Source organism: Homo sapiens, chromosome 20 (genome assembly GCF_000001405.40).
Source record: "Homo sapiens chromosome 20, GRCh38.p14 Primary Assembly".
Taxonomy (NCBI): Eukaryota; Metazoa; Chordata; class Mammalia; order Primates; family Hominidae; genus Homo; species Homo sapiens.
Genome location: NC_000020.11, coordinates 18136919 through 18154301, shown reverse-complemented (window position 1 = coordinate 18154301; position 17383 = coordinate 18136919). Strand labels below are relative to the sequence as shown.

Genomic DNA, 17383 nt, shown 5'->3' with positions numbered 1-17383 from the left:
AAGTACGTCCTATGGATAGCAGAATGAAAATCTTTAGTAGCTATGAAAAAAGTGTACCTTAAATATAAATGCTCTTTACAGACAGCTTCTCTGGGGTACGGTAATCTTGTTAACATTCATACACAGAAATGTCTGAGCAAGTGGTAACTACCCAGGGGTAGTGGTTTCAGGGGACTTCTCCAATCACTGATATTTCAAGTGGAGTTCCCAAAGTGAAGAGCAGCACTGTAGCATGAAACCGGGTGGCAAGAATCATAAAGTGATTTCTAATTCTCTTTTGCTTCTTCTGGTTAGATCAAAAGAAAGTTTACTGCTTTAAATTCTCATTAACACTTGTAGCAGCCTCCCTTTTTGACTGGAAAAGAAAGCCATGGCTTGCCATTATATGCCATGGGATCCAGCTACAATTTAACAGCATTGTTTTATTTTTATTGTTACATTCTACTTATGACAATTTATATAGGTTTCCCACTTACCATGGTGATGTTAAGTTTCTTTTTAAAATTAATGTATTTTTCAGGTGACTTGATTTAAATAGGAAGATCAAATAAATAATAATTCCGGTGATATACCAATATGGCCAACACACTAAATAAACTACACAGAAACTGGAGAGTAATTAATGCCTTTCATTGGCATGTTAAAAAGAAATAAGGCTCAGCTGATTCCTCTCAGAACATGCTCTAGAAATGAACAAATGAAGCATTTAAACAACTTCTGTTAAAATCCAGCAATATTTTTAAAAACAGGCAATCTAAATCTAATTTTTTCCAGGAGATAACCCACTAAATAGGACAGCACTCGAAGATCATGAAAACATTCCAAGATCCAATTTTATCAGTTTTTTCCCTTTCTTATCCCTTATAAATGGGGTACATTAAGGTCCATAAATAGTGCTAAATCATTAAACTAAACAACAGATTTCTTTTCCTTATGAGAAAGAACCAGTTATAGTGTCGATTCTTTTCTTAGCACCAATAAATAGCTCAAGAACTAAAATAACCCCTTTTGCAAAAATGTAGGGAGTCTATTCCATTTTCTCACAGCAGCCTGCAGGTCACCCTCCTTCTGACTACCCTCCCGTACTCTCAGTAACATGAGCAAAGCTGTGATTCCTCAGCTTCTGAAGAAACAGAGGCTGCAGTGAACCCCAAGTGAGGAAAGGCATGAACTCCCTGCCCTGACCTGAAGTGATCAAAGACTTTGTCATGTCTAAACTAACCTCATTATGTAAGATTCATGAATCTCACACAGGACTTCAGACAGCAACTAACAATCAGAATCTCAAACAAAAATTCACCAGTGTGGTAGCAAACTCACAAGTACCCAAGAGCAATAAAAGTCTTGATAGATCCACGTGGACATTTAGTGAAAATATATGGTCGCAAGGTCTGTGCATCGGCATCCCCGAGTCTAATGCACCAAAGCAGCCACTGGGGAGAGCACACAGCAGCAAACTCAAAGCGCAATGATAAACACAGTGACCAATGAACAAGCCACATGCAGATGTGCCCAGACTTTGCTAAGCACTATGAAAAATAGTTAAAAATAAAAAAGAGTGTCTACTTTACAGAGTTAAAAACAAATACTAGTAATACAAAACTCTATTAACTAAGGGCAACCTAAATAGATGCAGTCAGTAACTGCCATTATTTTTCCTGTCTTGTCCTCCTAGAAGGCACTGCTCTGTTTTGGTTCTTTTTTTGGTTGGTTGTTTGTTTGTTTGAGATGGAGTCTCGCTGAGTCACCCAGGCTGGAGTGAAGTGGCCCCATCTCAGCTCACTGTAACCTCCGCCTCCCAGGTTCAAGCGATTCTCCTGCTTCAGCCTCCCGAGTAGCTGGGATTACGGGCACCCGCCACCAAGCCCAGCTAATTTCTGTATTTTTAGTAGAGATGGGGTTTCACCATGTTGGCCAGGCTGGTCTCGAACTCCAGACCTCAGGTGATCTGCTCGCCTCGGCCTCCCAAAATGCTGGGATTACAGGCCTGAGCTACCGGGCCCAGCCTGGTTGGTGTTTTCTAAGAGATGGGGGTCTCACTATACTGTCCAGGCTGGCTTCAAACTCCTGGGCTCGAGTGATCCTCCAACCTTGGTCTCCTGAGTAGCTGGGACAACAGGCATGCCCCACCACACACAGCTTAAAAGAATATAATAACCCTATCTCCTCAAGTGAAATATTGACTTATCCAACTCTTGAACAGTCTCATGTAATACAACTCTTATTTTTTAACATTCTAAGAATTTCTTCAAAAAACGTCATGTTCAGTTGAAACAAACATCTTTTTTTTTTTTTTTTTGAGATGGAGTCTCACTCTGTTGCCCAGGCTGGAGTGCAATGGCGCAATCTTGGCTCACTGCAACCTCCACCTCCTGGGTTCAAGCAATTCTCCTGCCTCAGCCTCCTCAGTAGCTGGGATTATAGTTGCCTGCCACCACGCCCAGCTAATTTTTGTATTTTAGTAGAGATGGGGTTTCACCATGTTGGCGAGGCTGGTCTTGAACTCCTGACCTCAGGTGATCCACCCACCTCGGCCTCCCAAAGTGCTGGGATTACAGGCATGAGCCACTGCGCCCAGCCAAGTTTTTTTTTTAATCTTAAAAAAGTAAAAATATTCTCTGGAATTCAAAAATTTTCGTAATTGCCACAAGTAAACACTCTAAATCTCTAACAAGGTAAGGAACGGTGATTCACACCCACCATAATCCCAGCACTTTGGAAGGCTAAGGCAGGAGAGCTGTTTGAGCCCAGGAGTTCAAAACCAGCCTGAGACAACACGAGACCCCTGTCTCTACAAAAATATAAGGCCAGGCGCAGTGGCTCACGCCTGTAATCCAAGCACTTTGGGAAGCCGAGGCAGACAGATCACTTGTGGTCAGGAGTTCAAGACCAGCCTGGCCAACATGGTGAAACCCCGTCTCTACTAAAAATACAAAAATTAGCTGGGCATAGTGGCAGGTGCCTGTAATCCCAGCTACTCAGGAGGCTAAGGCAGGAGAATCGCTTGAACCCGGGAGGTGGCGGTTGCAGTGTGCCGAGATCACGCCACTGCACTCTAGCCTGGGGGAGAGAGCAAGACTCTGCCTCCAAAAAATAAATAAATAAATAAATAAGCCAGGCATGTTGGTGCACACCTGTAATCCCAGCTACTCAGGAGGCTGATGCAGGAGGACTACTTGAGCCCAGGAGGTTGAGGATGCAGTGAGCTATGGTCATGCCACTGCACTCCAGCCTGGGAGACTCTATCTCAAAAAAATTAAAATAAATCTCTAACAAGTCTACATTAGGCTGTCTCAAATCCTGTATACTTCATTCTTTACATATTCCTTGAAGTATAAGATTTTTTAAAAACACATTACCTATTCCCTAGTAAAAAAGTCCAATGTTTCTCAATAAAAGCACAGATATCTTCTTTCCACCTGAAATAACCTTGACGTCCACTTCCTTCCAGAGACAAGTTGTACATTGCCAACATGACGACCTGAAACACAATTGAAACAAGAGGTGGGAGAACAGCACGGTTAGGGATGTTAATCTTGAGGGGGGAAAAGCTTCTTCTGTTTTATATTCTGAGTAGGAATGGTGGGGAACAGAGCGAACAAAGGACGGACGGTATCTTGGAATATTCCCAGGGTAGAATTTACTTCCTTTTTTACTTTCGTTAGATTATCACTAATCCACTTAATTATGTGCAGAACTAAGCATCTAATCCTTAGGTGCCACACATGCAGGGCTAATGTGTGGCTGAACTGATGGCTACAACAGAGATGCCCCTGAATCAGCTGATAAACAGGCATTGTCCCAAGGATCCCGCACCCTACACAGTGTAGTCCTAAATCAAGGGGTACCTTCTGGCCAGCAGGAGGCCTCCAGGTGCCTACTCCAGCCAGCATTTTCTGACCAACGGCACTACCCTTTATCAAATATCTTGAAAATTACCCTTGTATATATTTCTCTAAGCTCTTAGATGGCAAAAACAAGACTCAGAATTTCAGAACTAAAAATAATGCTACATGCCATCTATCTACTCGGTGACTTAGCCATTTTTACCTGTCAAACCCCTCCTTCAAATGAAATCAGCATTAGAGAAGAAACAGGGAACTGAAAGGCCTAGCCACTCAGCCCATTTTCAGAGCGCTCCAAGACAACCCCAGAGCTCAGGATGCAAACTCCTAATCTAATCTACTCTTATTTTACAGATGAGGAATTCATGGCCCCAAATGGGAAGGAAGTAAAAATCACTTGAAATCCACCATCAAGAAATAATCCCATCCTTTCAGACATTTTTCTTTGCATCTATACTCAGATACTCATATAGATGTTTTTTTGTATTTGTTTGTTTGGTTTTTTTGAGACAAGAGTCCCACTGTGATGCCCAAGCTGGAATGTGATGGTGCGATCTCGGCTCACTGCAACCTCTGATTCCTGGGTTCAAGCAATTTTCCTGCCTCAGCCTCCCAAGTAGCTGGGATCTCAGATGCGCACCACCACTCCTGGCTAATTTTTGTATTTTCAGTAGAGACAGGGTTTCAAACTCCTGACCTCAAGTGACCTGCCCGCCTCAGCCTCCAAAAGTGCTGGGATTACAGATGTGAGCCACTGCGCCCAGCCTAATCCTTATTTCTATAAAGAGCATCCTGTAGCTGTAAGGAGTGTAGTAAATTGCAGTTAATGCCCCCAACATCTGTATTCACAGCATTAAATCCCCAGCAGTCTTACGGAAAGAGCAATATCTACACCACTCAAAGGGGCCCAGTAATTCTGACCCTTCACTAACCAAGTTTCAATTTCCCCCATTCTTAAACTTGCAATACTTGCAGACAGTCTAAAAACAATTAACCCCATGAACAGATTTTAAAAAATGTCTTCCAGTTATATCTGCATCTGGTCTACATCAGCCAACAAACACCTTCCTTTAAACAATCAATATTCATGGGAAGTTAGTGTTTAATGGGCACGGAGTTTCATTTTGTAAAGATAAAAAAATTCTGGAGGTGGATGGTGGTGGTGATTACACAGCAATGTGAATGTACTTAATTCCACTGCACTGTACACTAAAAAATGGTAAACTATATGTTATGCATATTTCATCACAATTTTAAAAAATAATTATTGCTCAATAAATAATTTAAGAAAATCATAGAACGAGCTTTGCCCACTCTCAGAAGAGTATCTCAGAAATATGTATTTGCTGATAATCTCAGTGATAAAGTATTTCTATGACTTTTTTGTATAATTGAGACATTTTATGACCCTAAAAAGCTTACATATTTACTTGAAAATAACTTTTTCTATTATCACTTAATCTTTACTAGGCAAACTATAAACTAATATATAAAGGACCTGTTTTTCCTTCTCTCCTGGAATTTATGATCTAAAAGAATGAATCCCAGGCCGGGCATGGTGGCTCACGCCTGTAATCCCAGCACTTTGGGAGGCTGAGGTGGGTGAATCACGTGAGGTCAGGAGTTCAAGACCAGCCTGGCCAACATGGTGAAACCCCGTCTCTACTAAAAATACAAAAATTAGCCAGGCATGGTGGCGCACGCCTGTAGTTCCAGCTACTCGGGAGGCTGAAGCAGGAGAATCGTTTGAATGCAGGAGGCAGAGGTTGCAGTGAGCCAAGATCGCGCCATTGCACTCCAGCCTGGGCAACAAGAGTGAAACTCCATCTCAAAAAAAAAAAAACAAAAAAAAATGAACCCCAGTTTAGTTTTCTGCTCTCATGTTACCAGACCAAGCTCATCAGTAATGAGGCTGATCTTGTGGACCAATGTATCCACAGGGCCTAGCTCAGAGCTGGCAGGTACTCAGTATATGCTGAAGAACACTAGAAAAATAACAAGCAAAGATCGATCATAGTATCTTTACTTGTGCCATAAGAATGAGTCTCCAGGAAAAGAATGCAAAAACTTCCCTATCCTTCCCAAATGTTTGATAAAGTTTCTCCTACGTATGGAACTGCTATTCACAGGAGTCACCAAGGAAGAGGAGAGGACACAGAAAGGGAGTGTGGCAAGAAGGGGCTTTTTAATCAGGAGATCAGACCTCTTTACTGTAAGTATTTTATAATACAAACAAAATGCTATTTGTGTTACAAGCATTTCTACATATTTCTTTGGTAAATCTTTCAAAGTTTAAAATTTAAAGACGGAAAACCCACATTTCAATATACTAAGAATGTGGCTACATCAATGGAGTCCATTCAAGACCAACTGATTCTCTTTCAGGTCTTCAGTGAGAGATGGGCTTTTTCAGATGCAACTAGAAATACTGGTCAGTTGTTTGCTAAGAACCACATATGTGCAACCTAAGTTATCACTTCACCCTACCAGGTTAGTATCCACCATCAATACGTATTTTGGAAGTGAAAAAATAATCTGCAAGTTATGTTAGTCTAATTAAATATGCAAAGTGGCCGGGCACGGTGGCTCACGCCTGTAATCCCAGCACTTTGGGATGCCGAGGTGGGTGGATCACCTGAGGTCAGGAGTTCGAGACCAGCCTGGCCAACATGGCAAAACCCCATCTCTACTAAAAATACAAAAAATTAGCCAGGCATGGTGGCACATGCCTGTAATCCCAGCTACTAGAGGGGCTGAGGCAGGAGGATTGCTTGAACCTGGGAGGCGGAGGTTGCAGTGAGCCGAGATTGTGCCACTGCACTCCAGCCTGAGCAACAGAGTGAGACTGTGCCTCAAAAAGATTTAAAATTTTTTTTTAAAAAGAATAAATAAATATGCAAAGTGAGCCAATATTACATACTCTGAGCAAAATAAGCAAAAGCCAGCTTTTCTTTTAAAAAGAACCACTACAGAAAACTCACATTTTTGAAAATTTACATATATTTGCTCTTCTTCCATTTTACAGCTTTTATGAGAAACAACTTGCAGGACAAATACAAATCTACCTGTGTGCACATATCACAATAATCTATTAATAAGATCTTGCCTACACACAGTATCCCATGTACACTTGAGAAAAATGTCCCAGTTATAATATTCATAAGGCTCTATCCTCAATACAAACTTCTCTTCATTTTCTACTTACATTTTTTTCAGGCAAGTCAAAGAAAAGGCTTCCTAATTCAACACTGACAGATTTCATCAGCTGTCCTAATAAAGCACTGATAATTAAGATAATAGACGAAGGCTGCTAAGGCAACTACAATTTACAAGGAACACCATAAGTGGCTAAAATGGTGTAATTTAAAATCTTTCTCATTACTCTATTTCCTTCAAAGTAAAAAGTGCTGTGGGTAATTATCTTGTTGATCTGTTTATTATCAAAATTAAGTATAGAATGTCAGCTGTCTTGGGGCAGAGGCCTTAGCTGTCTCGTTCACCACAGTAGTCTCAGGCCTAGAACAGCACCTGGTTCATAACAGGTACTCAGTATCTGTTGAATGAATGAATGAACATAAAAACTAAGTAATATATAATTTTTTTTTTTTTGAGATGGGGTCTCACTCTGTCACCACCCAGGCTGGAGTACAGTGGCTCGATCACAGCTCATTGCAGCCTCAACCTCCCAGGCTCAAGCAACCCTCCCACATCAGTCTCCTGAGAAGCTGGGACCACAGGAGTGCACCACCACCACATTCAGCTAATTTTTGTATTGTTTTGTTTTTTTGGTTTTTTTTGAGATGGACTTTCACTCTTGTTGCCTAGGCTGTAGTGCAGTGGCGCGATCTCGGCTCACTGCAACCTCCGCCTCCTGGGTTCAAGCAATTCTCCTGCCTCAGCCTCCCAAGTAGCTGGGATTACAGGCATGTGCCACCGCACCCAGCTAATTTTGTATTTTTAGTAGAGACGGTGTTTCTCCATGTTGGTCAGGCTGGTCTCGAACTCCCGACCTCAGGTGATCTGCCTCCCTCAGCCTCCCAAAGTGCTGGGATTACAGGCATGAGCCACCGCGCCTGGCCTGTTTTTTATAGAGTCGGGGTTTCACCACGTTGCCCAGGCTTGTCTCCTGAGCTCAGGTGATCTGGCCGCCTCCGCCTCCCAAAGTGCTGGGATTACAGATGTGAGCCACCATGTCTGGTTTCATCTGGTTTTTGAACTAAAAAGTATACACTGATGCCTTATTATTCATATTATACATTAACATATTGACATAGAAACAAAACTAAAACAATTTAATACAACCTGGAGATCAGCAAAAAGCTATTGTTTAGGATACAGCTGACTTAGATTAGGGTGCTGATATTAGAGACAGTTAAAAAGGAACAAGTATTTCAGCAAACAAAAATTCAAACATCTCCGAGTTCAAATGCAGAAAAGCTGGGTTATGTTGGTTTTTGCAATCAGTCACCTTCCTTCTTCCAAATCTATTTTCAACATAGCCATCTTTCCACTTTAAAAAAATAGTTTTATTGTTCTTAAAATGGCTGCCAGGAAAATGAGAATTTCATTTTCAATTATAATCAGAGCTTGGTATCACATATAAAAGAAATCATGAGATTCTCAAGCCTCTCAAGCCCAATTCACCAAGTCAGCAGTGAATATATTTTTTTTTTTTTGAAAAGGAGTCACACTTTGTCGCCCAAGCTGGAGTACAGTGGCACGGTGTGGGCTCACTGCAGCCTCCGCCTCCCAGGTTCAAGCGATTCTCCTGCCTCAGTCTCCCAGGTAGTTGGGATTACAGGGGCCCACCACCATAGCCAGCTAATTTTTGTATTTTCAATGGAAATGGGGTTTCACCATGTTGGCCAGGCTGGTCTCGAAGTCCTGACCTCAGGTGATCTGCCCGCCTTGGCCTCCCAGAGTGCTGGGATTACAGCGAGTATTTTTCACTCCCTTCTCCACATATTCGGTATCTAATTTCATTGCGAAATAAAAAGTGCCCCTCCAAACAACTCAAAAGCTCATCCCTAAGTTTCTAGATATTCGTTCCAACAAACTCCTGGGGGAACCACCCTCATGGATTTGGGGAAGGGCTTTTTACTCACTTGCTGCCATGTCAGCTTCAGCCTTTCATACTGCTCCTTGCCATCTGCTGAGCAATCCGAACAAGTAAACCTAAAAAAATTATCACCCTTAAGGTAACTGAGCTGTTCCCTCAGCTGACCTAGGAGAAAAACAAAAAGTCACATCATGGGTTTATCTAGAGCAGCGGTAACCTAAAGGTTTAATCCGTTTATCACCCAGATTTTCCTTTCCCATGTTGTCTTCTTTTCTTCAGCCAACCCACAATTGCAAAATGGGGAAAAGGAAGGGAATTAGAAAGATTTCTATTCTTCTAACACCAAGTATACGCCCACTAAGATCTGTAGGATCCAGTAACTTTTAGGAGAAAGGTACTGGAAAAGCAGGTATTGTTGCTGGATTTCCCAATTGTCACATTCCTGACTCCCAGAGGCAGGTCTCTTCACACATTCTTTCAAAAAATATGAGCTCCCTCTGCATACCAGGCACTGGGCTAGGAACTGGGAATACAAAGTCCAAGACAGATAATGGTGCCTGATCTCACAGGTTTGCACTTCCCTGAGGGCTGCATAGAAAACAGGTGATCACAACAACACAGTGGTTCTCCATGCTCACAGTGCATTGGAATCACCCAAGTTGTTCTTGGTTTTCTAAATATGCTTGATTCTAGCCCAGATAAAATGCATCAATTTCTGAAGCAGAGCCTAGGAGTTACATTTCTTAGTCCCTCAGGTGATGCTGATGCTCTGTGACACATAAGGAATGGAATGTGCTGTGTACCACAGGGCAGTGTGAGGGTAAATAAAAGGAGGCCCAACCTATATTAGGGGGAGGCTTAGGATTAGAAATTGGCCAGGTGAAAAGGGGTCTCTTTGTGTATAGGGAGAATGGAGGCTGTGGAGATGCATATTCCAGAAGAAAAAAACTGTGCAAAGCCCTAAGGATAAGAATTGTTTGTGAAGAATAAGTTCACCCTAACTGCAAAGTTGTGTGGGAATCAAAGAAACTACAGTTAGCAGGGTCCTGACCACAAAGGGTAGCTTAAAATTTGTCCTCAACAGGACAAAGGGAAAGCCACTGAGAATTCAGGCAGAACCTGAAATCAATAACAGAGACCGCTCAGAAGCAAAAACCAGCTAACTAGTAAATTCTGCATTTCCTGTGAAAATGTTACTATTAATTTGTTAACAGTGACTAAATTTGAAGTTGAACCCATTTTAAGAAAAACATTTCCACATGCCAGAAAATGACCCTCTTCACAGTTATATATGTATTTCTCTGACTTGGTTACAAATTATATTACACAAAGGCATTCCTCAAGTACCTATATCTTTACTAGTCTCTTGCCTAATGGGAAAATCCTGTTTCGGTATAAACCATATGATGGCTGGCAAGCCATACTCCTCAGGTGCCAGGAAGCTGGCCATTGAAAATCTCAAGATCAGGGCCGAGCACAGTAGCACATGCCTGTAATCCCAGCACTTTGGGAGGCCGAGGCGGATGGATCACCTGAGGTTGGGAGTTTGAGACCAGCCTGACCAACATGGAGAAGAAACCTCATCTCTACTAAAAATACAAAATTGGCCGGGCATGGTGGCGCATGCCTGTAATCCCAGCTACTCGGGAGGCCGAGGCAGGAGAATCACTTGAACCTGGGAGACGGAGGTTGCAGTGAGCCAAGATCATGCCATTGCACTCCAGCCTGGGCAATAAGAGGAAAACTCCGTCTCAAAAAAAAAAAATAAAATAAAAAAAAAAATTAGCCAGGTGTGCTGGCAAACACTATAATCCCAGCTACTTGGGAGGCTGAGGCAGGAGAATCGCTTGAACCCAGGAGCCGAGATCATGCCATTGCACTCTAGCCTGGGCAACAAAAGCAAAACTCCATCTCAAAAAAAAAAAAGAAAGAAAAGAAAATCTCAAGATTGAGGCAATCAGGGAGTGTGTATGAGGTATCTCTTGCCAGCAGAAAAAAAGGAAAATGGAAAAAAAGACTGGTCCTAGAAAAAGGGCAAAAAACACCTTCAATCTGCTAATTCTAACCTCTTTTCAGTATACAATAGCAGGAGTTCTCCACGTAAGTTAAATATTAACAAAGTAATTTTTATAAACTTGAACATGAATTCAACACTGGGACTGGAATTTGGCCCTAAATCTCTGTGACCTTGTTAGAAAAATATGGCTAATTCTTTAAGTAACACAGGATTTCCAATTTTCTCAATTTTATTGAGTTACCACCAAAAGTGTTAATTTAACAATGTGATAGAGGTTGACAGTACGTTTCATTAGTACAAACATGCCTATGTTTTATATAAATTTATAGCTGATCAACTAGAGAATAAATATAATTATCCTTTTATTTAGGTCTCTTTTACATTCACGTTTCTTTCACAGGTTGGAAAAACAAACCTTCACACAGGAATTGACAAATCAAAGGAATTGAGAAGCTCCTTACTGGCTGGTATCCATTTTTGGCACTTGTCACAGAAGTAGGACAGCTGCTCCTCCATCCAAGACACGTCTCCTTCATCACTGTTGAGGGAATCCCCACTCTGGTCGTGCGATAAGTCCACTGATGCCTGATCCTCGGATTCGACGATCAGGAGCGTCTCTCCCTCCACTTCACCTTCCTCCAGTCCTTCTGAGGTCGATGTTCTCGTGGCTTCGTCATCATGCCGACTGATCAGACTACTCAGGTGGATGCTACTATCCATCCCTTCCTTCTCACAAGCTCGGCAGTGCTTCTCAGTAACAACCCTAAGCACTGGACAGTGACCCTAATGGGGCTTCTACCAGGATCACCCAGACAGACTCTTCCAAAAAGTGTCTGCCCACACTCCTTTATTCAGATATAAGGGACCCTGAAAGCAGTAACTTATATGACCCACTGTCCTTTATTTGATCAAGTTTAAAAGGACAGTGACCAAAAAAAAAGATGAAGATACTACTAAGCTACTCTCCATCAACACACACACACAAACTCGTGTTGTCTGTCCAACAGATATTTCACATTCAAGTCATGATTTTTGAGATCCTTTTGCCAATAACATCTTCTCTCTTTCTGCTTCAAGTTGCTCAGTCAAAATAATCTGTTCTCCCAAAAGACGAATGTTTTCTTTTTTCCGAATTTGCCTCTCAATGTCTCTGATAACTCCGTCACGAAGCCTCTAAAAACGTAAGAAACAGATTTCAGTAACATCCCGAACAGGTGGTCCCCATCCTTGTGCCATTCAAATCCAAATAACAGTGTTACCAAAATATACTTAAAACTTTCAGATTCCAAATACCCAGTTACTATTTTAATTTTCTGTACAAATGTAAAATGTAATAAACGATCAAATAAATTTGGTAGTGTGCTAAATGTTATTACTGAAATGATTTCTTATCATATTTTAAGAAATTCCTGAACATTTAGTACAGAAAATTTAATGGGAAATAACAGAAAAAAAAAACTGGCACTATGTTAAATTTTTTTTTATTTATTTTTTGAGACAAGAGTCTCGCTCTGTCGCCCAGGCTGGAGTGCAGTGGCTGCACTCCGCAGCTCACCGCAACCTCCACCTCCTGGGTTCAAGTGATTCTCCGGCCTCAGCCTCCCGAGTAGCTGAGACTACAGGCGTGCATCACCATGCCCAGCTAATTTTTGTATTTTTAGTAGAGACGGGGTTTCACCACGTCAGCCAAGCTGGTCTCGAACTCCTGATCTCAAGTAATCCACCTGCCTCAGCCTCCCAAAGTGCCGGATTACAGGCGTGAGCCACTGCACCCGGCCAATGTTAAATTTTTAAAGTTTAATTGATATGTAATGCTTTAAAAACTTGGCGAGTTACTACAGTAACACTCTAAACTACTCTTCTGTTAGCACTTATCCTAGCTGAACAATAAACACCAACAGAAAAAATGCAGATTACTAAAATCTCAACTTGGCTTCTAGCATGTAAAGTTAACAATGTAAAAATCATGCAGAATTATTAATTAATTATATAACAGAGAAAGAAGAAAAAGAAGGATGCTACTACCAGCGGAAAAAATAAATGCTCATCAATGGTAGTTACCTTAGTAAGCACTAAAAAACCACAGCACTTCAGAACGTGGACCTGGCACCCAAGAAGAGACTTTTAAAAACATCAGTCATTACTAATAACTAACATTTTATAGTTTATTGCTCACAAAATACTCTAAAGGTTTTAGGCCAGGCGTGGTGGCTCACTCCTGTAATCCCAGCACTCCTGTAATCTTAGGCCAAGGCAGGCAGACTGCTTGAGCTCAGAAGTTCTAGACCAGCCTGGGCAACATGGCAAAATCCCATCTCTAGCAAAAATAAAAATAAAAAAAAAAAAAAAAAAAAAAATTGCAGGGAGTGGTGGTGTGTGCCTGTGTTCCCAGCTACTCCGGAGGCTGAGGTGATAGGATCACCTCAGCCTGGGAGGCACAGGCTGCAGTGAGCTAAGATTGTGCCACTTCACTCCCACCTGGGTGACAGAACAAGCCCCATCTCAAAATAAATAAATAGGGTTTTTTTTGTTTTGTTTTATTGGTTTTTTTTTTTTTTTTTTGAGAAGGAGTCTCGTTCTGTCACCCAGGCTGGAGATCTTGGCTCCATGGCACGATCTTAGCTCACTGCAATCTCCACCTTCTGAGTTAAAGCGATTCTTGTGCCTCAGCCTCCCCAGTAGCTGAGATTACAGGCGTGCGCCACCAGGCCTGGCTAATTTTTTTGTATTTTTAGTAGAGACGGGGTTTCACCACGTTGGCCAGGCTGGTCTCGAACTCCTGACCTCAAATGATCTGCCTGCCTCAGCCTCCCAAAGTGCTGGGATTACAGGCATGAGCTACCGTGCCTGGCCAATAAATGGTTTTTAATAGTGGCTATATAGAGTAGAATTAATGGGAGTGGGGCCCAGGGCCTGCGTATGTTTGTGGGGTTTTTTCCAAATTATTTTACCTATTTTTAAAAACTCACCTAATATAATACCTACTTGCTGGACCTCCTCCAGGCCTACAGCTTCATTATGAGGGATTTGAAGGAGTCCCGGGATTGATATAACTCAACTGAAACACAACTGTCTTGAACCATGCACCCTTGGCAAGATCACCACTGAGACAAAAACGGAGGTGCTTATTCCACTCCCCCAACTGCAGGTCTTCCTGTCCTGTGCTTCTTACACCATGACACACCGATACCCACCCTCCCAAGCCCACACCATTCACCAGAATCATTCCTTCCACACCTGCCTCCCAGATCCTACCCTTCCTTCTCAGAGATGTCACGTGTGCTTATGATCTGGCTCTCCATCCCATCATTTGCTATCTTCCTCTAGGTTTCAAGGTCTATGCTGATTGCCTCACACATCCTTCCTGTGACCCTCACTGAACTACCTTTCTAACAACTTTCCTTACTAATCACTAAAGACCTCTTTATTCTTCCAACCCTAACACCTAGAACTCTGGCTCCTCATGTAGCACTGCTTAATTTTTGCTAGGTTACTGTGAGGATTACAGATGATATACATAAAGTGCTTAATACACTGCCTGGTATGTGGTAGACGGTCAGGAATCAATATTCATTATTTAATTTCTTGCTTCCTTGAACCTTCCGACACATCCACTGTGCTAATCATTTGTCCTAGTCTTTCCCACTGCTATTAATACAATGTAAGCCCCTAATGAAGAACCGGACATAAAAGGAAAAAAAATAAACACACACACACACACACACACACACACACACACACACACACGTTATTTTGGTTCTTCAGCTCTAACTTCCAAATAACCACTTTTCCACTCTGTAACACAATGGTGCTTAGTCCTGTGTTAAAATTCTCTGGGTTACTTTTAAAACATTGTTGAACCAGGTCCCCATCCCCAGGAGATTCTGGTTTAAATGGTCTGGGGTGGGGACCAAGCCTTAGTCACATTGTAAAAACTTTCCGGGAACATTTGATGTTCAGTTAGGGTCCAAAGCCAAGCTCTAATCCATCCCTACCCAAACCCTTCAAACATCACTTCACTGACGTCAGATCATCTGTCATACTAAATTTTACTCCATCTCAAGTTTTCCCAGGATCAACATCTTTTACTTTTCCTTGTAAGAGGCGGAAGTCTTCTGCCTCTATTCCAAAAGCCAGCCCCTTAGGAGCACATTTTAATCCCAAATCTCTGATCTCTCCTGTGCCCTTTCATTGTTAAGTCATCTCAACCCCTCGTCAAAATTCTTGTACCATCACATGCTTCCTCTCTTCTAATTTCCACAGTCTGTGAACACCAAGAACAAAGACCTCATCCACTTCATCTCTGTATATCAAGCACATAGCACAGTCCAAAGGTCTGGGTAGGCAAATCAAGAAAAGACTGTTTACTCTTGATTCATCCAGTCCATTATTTTCACCCTTGGTGAACTAGGTTCAACCCCAATCACTGCCAAGTTGTTTTCTGAAAATTCACCAATGACCCTGTTCTCAGCAAGGTCGTGAATCACTGATAGACTCTGGAAGAGTGGAGTTTCCTTATCTTTGTATTCCCAAGGTGCTTAGTGAGGTAGCTTCCACACAGTAATCACCCATTAAAGGTCTGTCAACTTGAATAAGAAAGAAAATATGAACTGAGAGGACAGAATAGTCACTGCTGATCAGCAGGTCACGGATATTTCCTGAAATAAAAGTACCAAAAAAAAAAATCTGGAGACTGTTATCTCTATCGTTCCCAGATTCTAGTTTCCATAGCAAACTGTTCATTTAAACGAGAAGTGCAAACATCTCACCAAATTATCTTGGTCAAAGGCATGGAGAGTGAGTACGGGGAAGGGGGGCTCCCTTACCATGGGATAAAATCAATAGCACGTAAAACACATTAGGCTTTAACCCCAACCTTGGGCCAGGAGGGAGGCTGGTAGCTTGCAGAATGCACCCCAAGAAACTCCTTCCCCACCTTCTATTTTCTAGCGGCCCAAGTGAGATGTGGAAAGGTCCGCACCCTGCGGGCCGGCTGTGACTTGAAAACAGAGCCACTGGGCACCCCAAAAGCTTGCGTGCCGTGCCTGTGCGGAGCAAGGCCCCTTCAGCGCGGAGCTCCAAAGGCGCTAAGCCGGGCAGCCGGGTCGTCCTGAATCTGCGGGCTGCACACGCCCGCCGGGAGCTGCAGCGCCCGGAGCCCAGCAGAGCGGCCGCCGGCCGCAGCCGCAAACGCGTGGGGTGCAGGGCCGCGCCACCGCGGGGGAAAGACACGAAGAGGAGCTGAGGAACCGAGCGGGCAGAGACCACGAGAGGCCCCAGGTCGACGCCGCGCGCGCGGGCCCGGAAGAGACGGTCACGTGACACCGACCTGCTGGTCCCACTGCTGCTTCACATGTACGCCGGCCACTGTGGCCGCCGTCAGCAGCACCGAGAGGCCCAGCACCACCTTCGAGCTCCTAGACATCCCCACGCTGGCGGCCGCGGCCTCTCTCTCCCGCCCGCCCGAGGCGCAGAGGCCGCCGCAGAGTGCGCACCGCCGCCTGTACTGCCCAGGCTCGACCCCTCGAGCGCAGAGCCCCAGCCGTCGCGTGCGCCGCTCGCCGCTGCCAGGCGTGAGCAATCGAGAGCCGAGCATAGAGCGGCGCCCAGGCTCTACGAACTCTTGGCTTCACTAGGGGCCTCCTGCACACCCCGCAGGCGACAGCGTTAGACCACCCCCGATTCAAATTCTAGGAGTCCCGGCCCAAACTGGCCCCGGCACCTTACCAGGGTGGAGGGTGGGGGTTCCATGCCCCTCAGTCAGTTCAGTACCAACCTCACCCCGGGCGGGGTCTGGATACCGTGCTGACCCCTCTCCCACAGACGTCCCTTCTGAGCCCCTGACTGATCCAGAAGCTTCGCCCAATACCGGCTTCGCCTAAACGCAGCCCCCTCATTGCTCCTTTGGCGGGGCAGGCGCCACCAGGAGACCGCCTCGTTAGGCAGCTTCAGAGGCGCGGGGTTCCCATCCGTGGAGTTTTTGCCTGAGGACCCATTATTAAACGCTGTAGTCGCGGTCACCTGGTTTCACCTTGACGCTGTGGGGCGACTGGTCAGGCTCGGATTATTATTATTATTATTATTATAATTTTGATACAGAGTCTCTGTCTATCGCCCAGGCTGGAGTGCAGTGGCGCGATCTCGGCTCACTGCAACCTTACCGGATTCAAGCGATTCTCCTGCCTCAGCCTCCCGAGAGGATTACAGGCGTGAGCCACCGCGCCTGGCCCCATGTAATCTTTGTGATCACTTTTACACCCAAGTTTCCGCGCCAGTAATACAAGGGAAATAAATGATATAAAGAAGTCTTGCGTTGGGAATAGTTAAGCAATTGTGCAAGACGCATTTTCACTTCTTCCTCGGGTAAAAAAGGCAAGGCCTCCCAGAAACTTTTAAGTATCTGATAGAGCAACCAGTGAAAACGTGTTCATCATTCAATCATTCTTTCCCACTAGAATTCAC

General features: G+C 43.7%; 2 protein-coding genes across 17 annotated transcripts in view, besides 1 other annotated feature; both read right to left on the bottom strand.

Moving 5' to 3' along the window:
• KAT14 (lysine acetyltransferase 14) overlaps positions 1–17149 on the bottom strand; it is a 50883-nt gene extending 33734 nt beyond the window's left edge. For 5 of the 16 annotated variants that reach the window (NM_001384192.3, NM_001392079.1, NM_001392081.1 and 2 more), the window contains exons 1-4: positions 16251–16439; positions 11383–12094; positions 8951–9069; positions 3360–3481 (exon numbers count right to left, since the gene is read on the bottom strand). In NM_001384192.3, coding sequence (NP_001371121.2) covers positions 3360–3481; positions 8951–9069; positions 11383–11641 — 500 coding nt within the window. In that variant the 5' untranslated portion in view covers positions 11642–12094; positions 16251–16439. The other 11 variants (NM_001392072.1, NM_001392078.1, NM_001392071.1 and 8 more) reach the window with 7 other exon arrangements.
• On the bottom strand, positions 11133–16439 carry PET117 (PET117 cytochrome c oxidase chaperone). The gene is made up of 2 exons (NM_001164811.2): positions 16251–16439; positions 11133–12094 (listed from the first exon to the last, which is right to left on the bottom strand). The coding sequence occupies exons 1-2, from the start codon at positions 16344–16346 to the stop codon at positions 11945–11947; spliced, it is 246 nt and encodes an 81-aa protein (NP_001158283.1). The 5' UTR covers positions 16347–16439; the 3' UTR covers positions 11133–11944.
• Positions 15951–16070: a silencer, noted in NCBI's record as "silent region_12701". NCBI's record gives its function as "represses an Ori minimal core promoter by ATAC-STARR-seq in GM12878 lymphoblastoid cells {active_cell/tissue: GM12878}" and the evidence as "EXISTENCE:reporter gene assay evidence [ECO:0000049][PMID:35858748]".
• Positions 17150–17383: the final 234 nt, after the last annotated feature.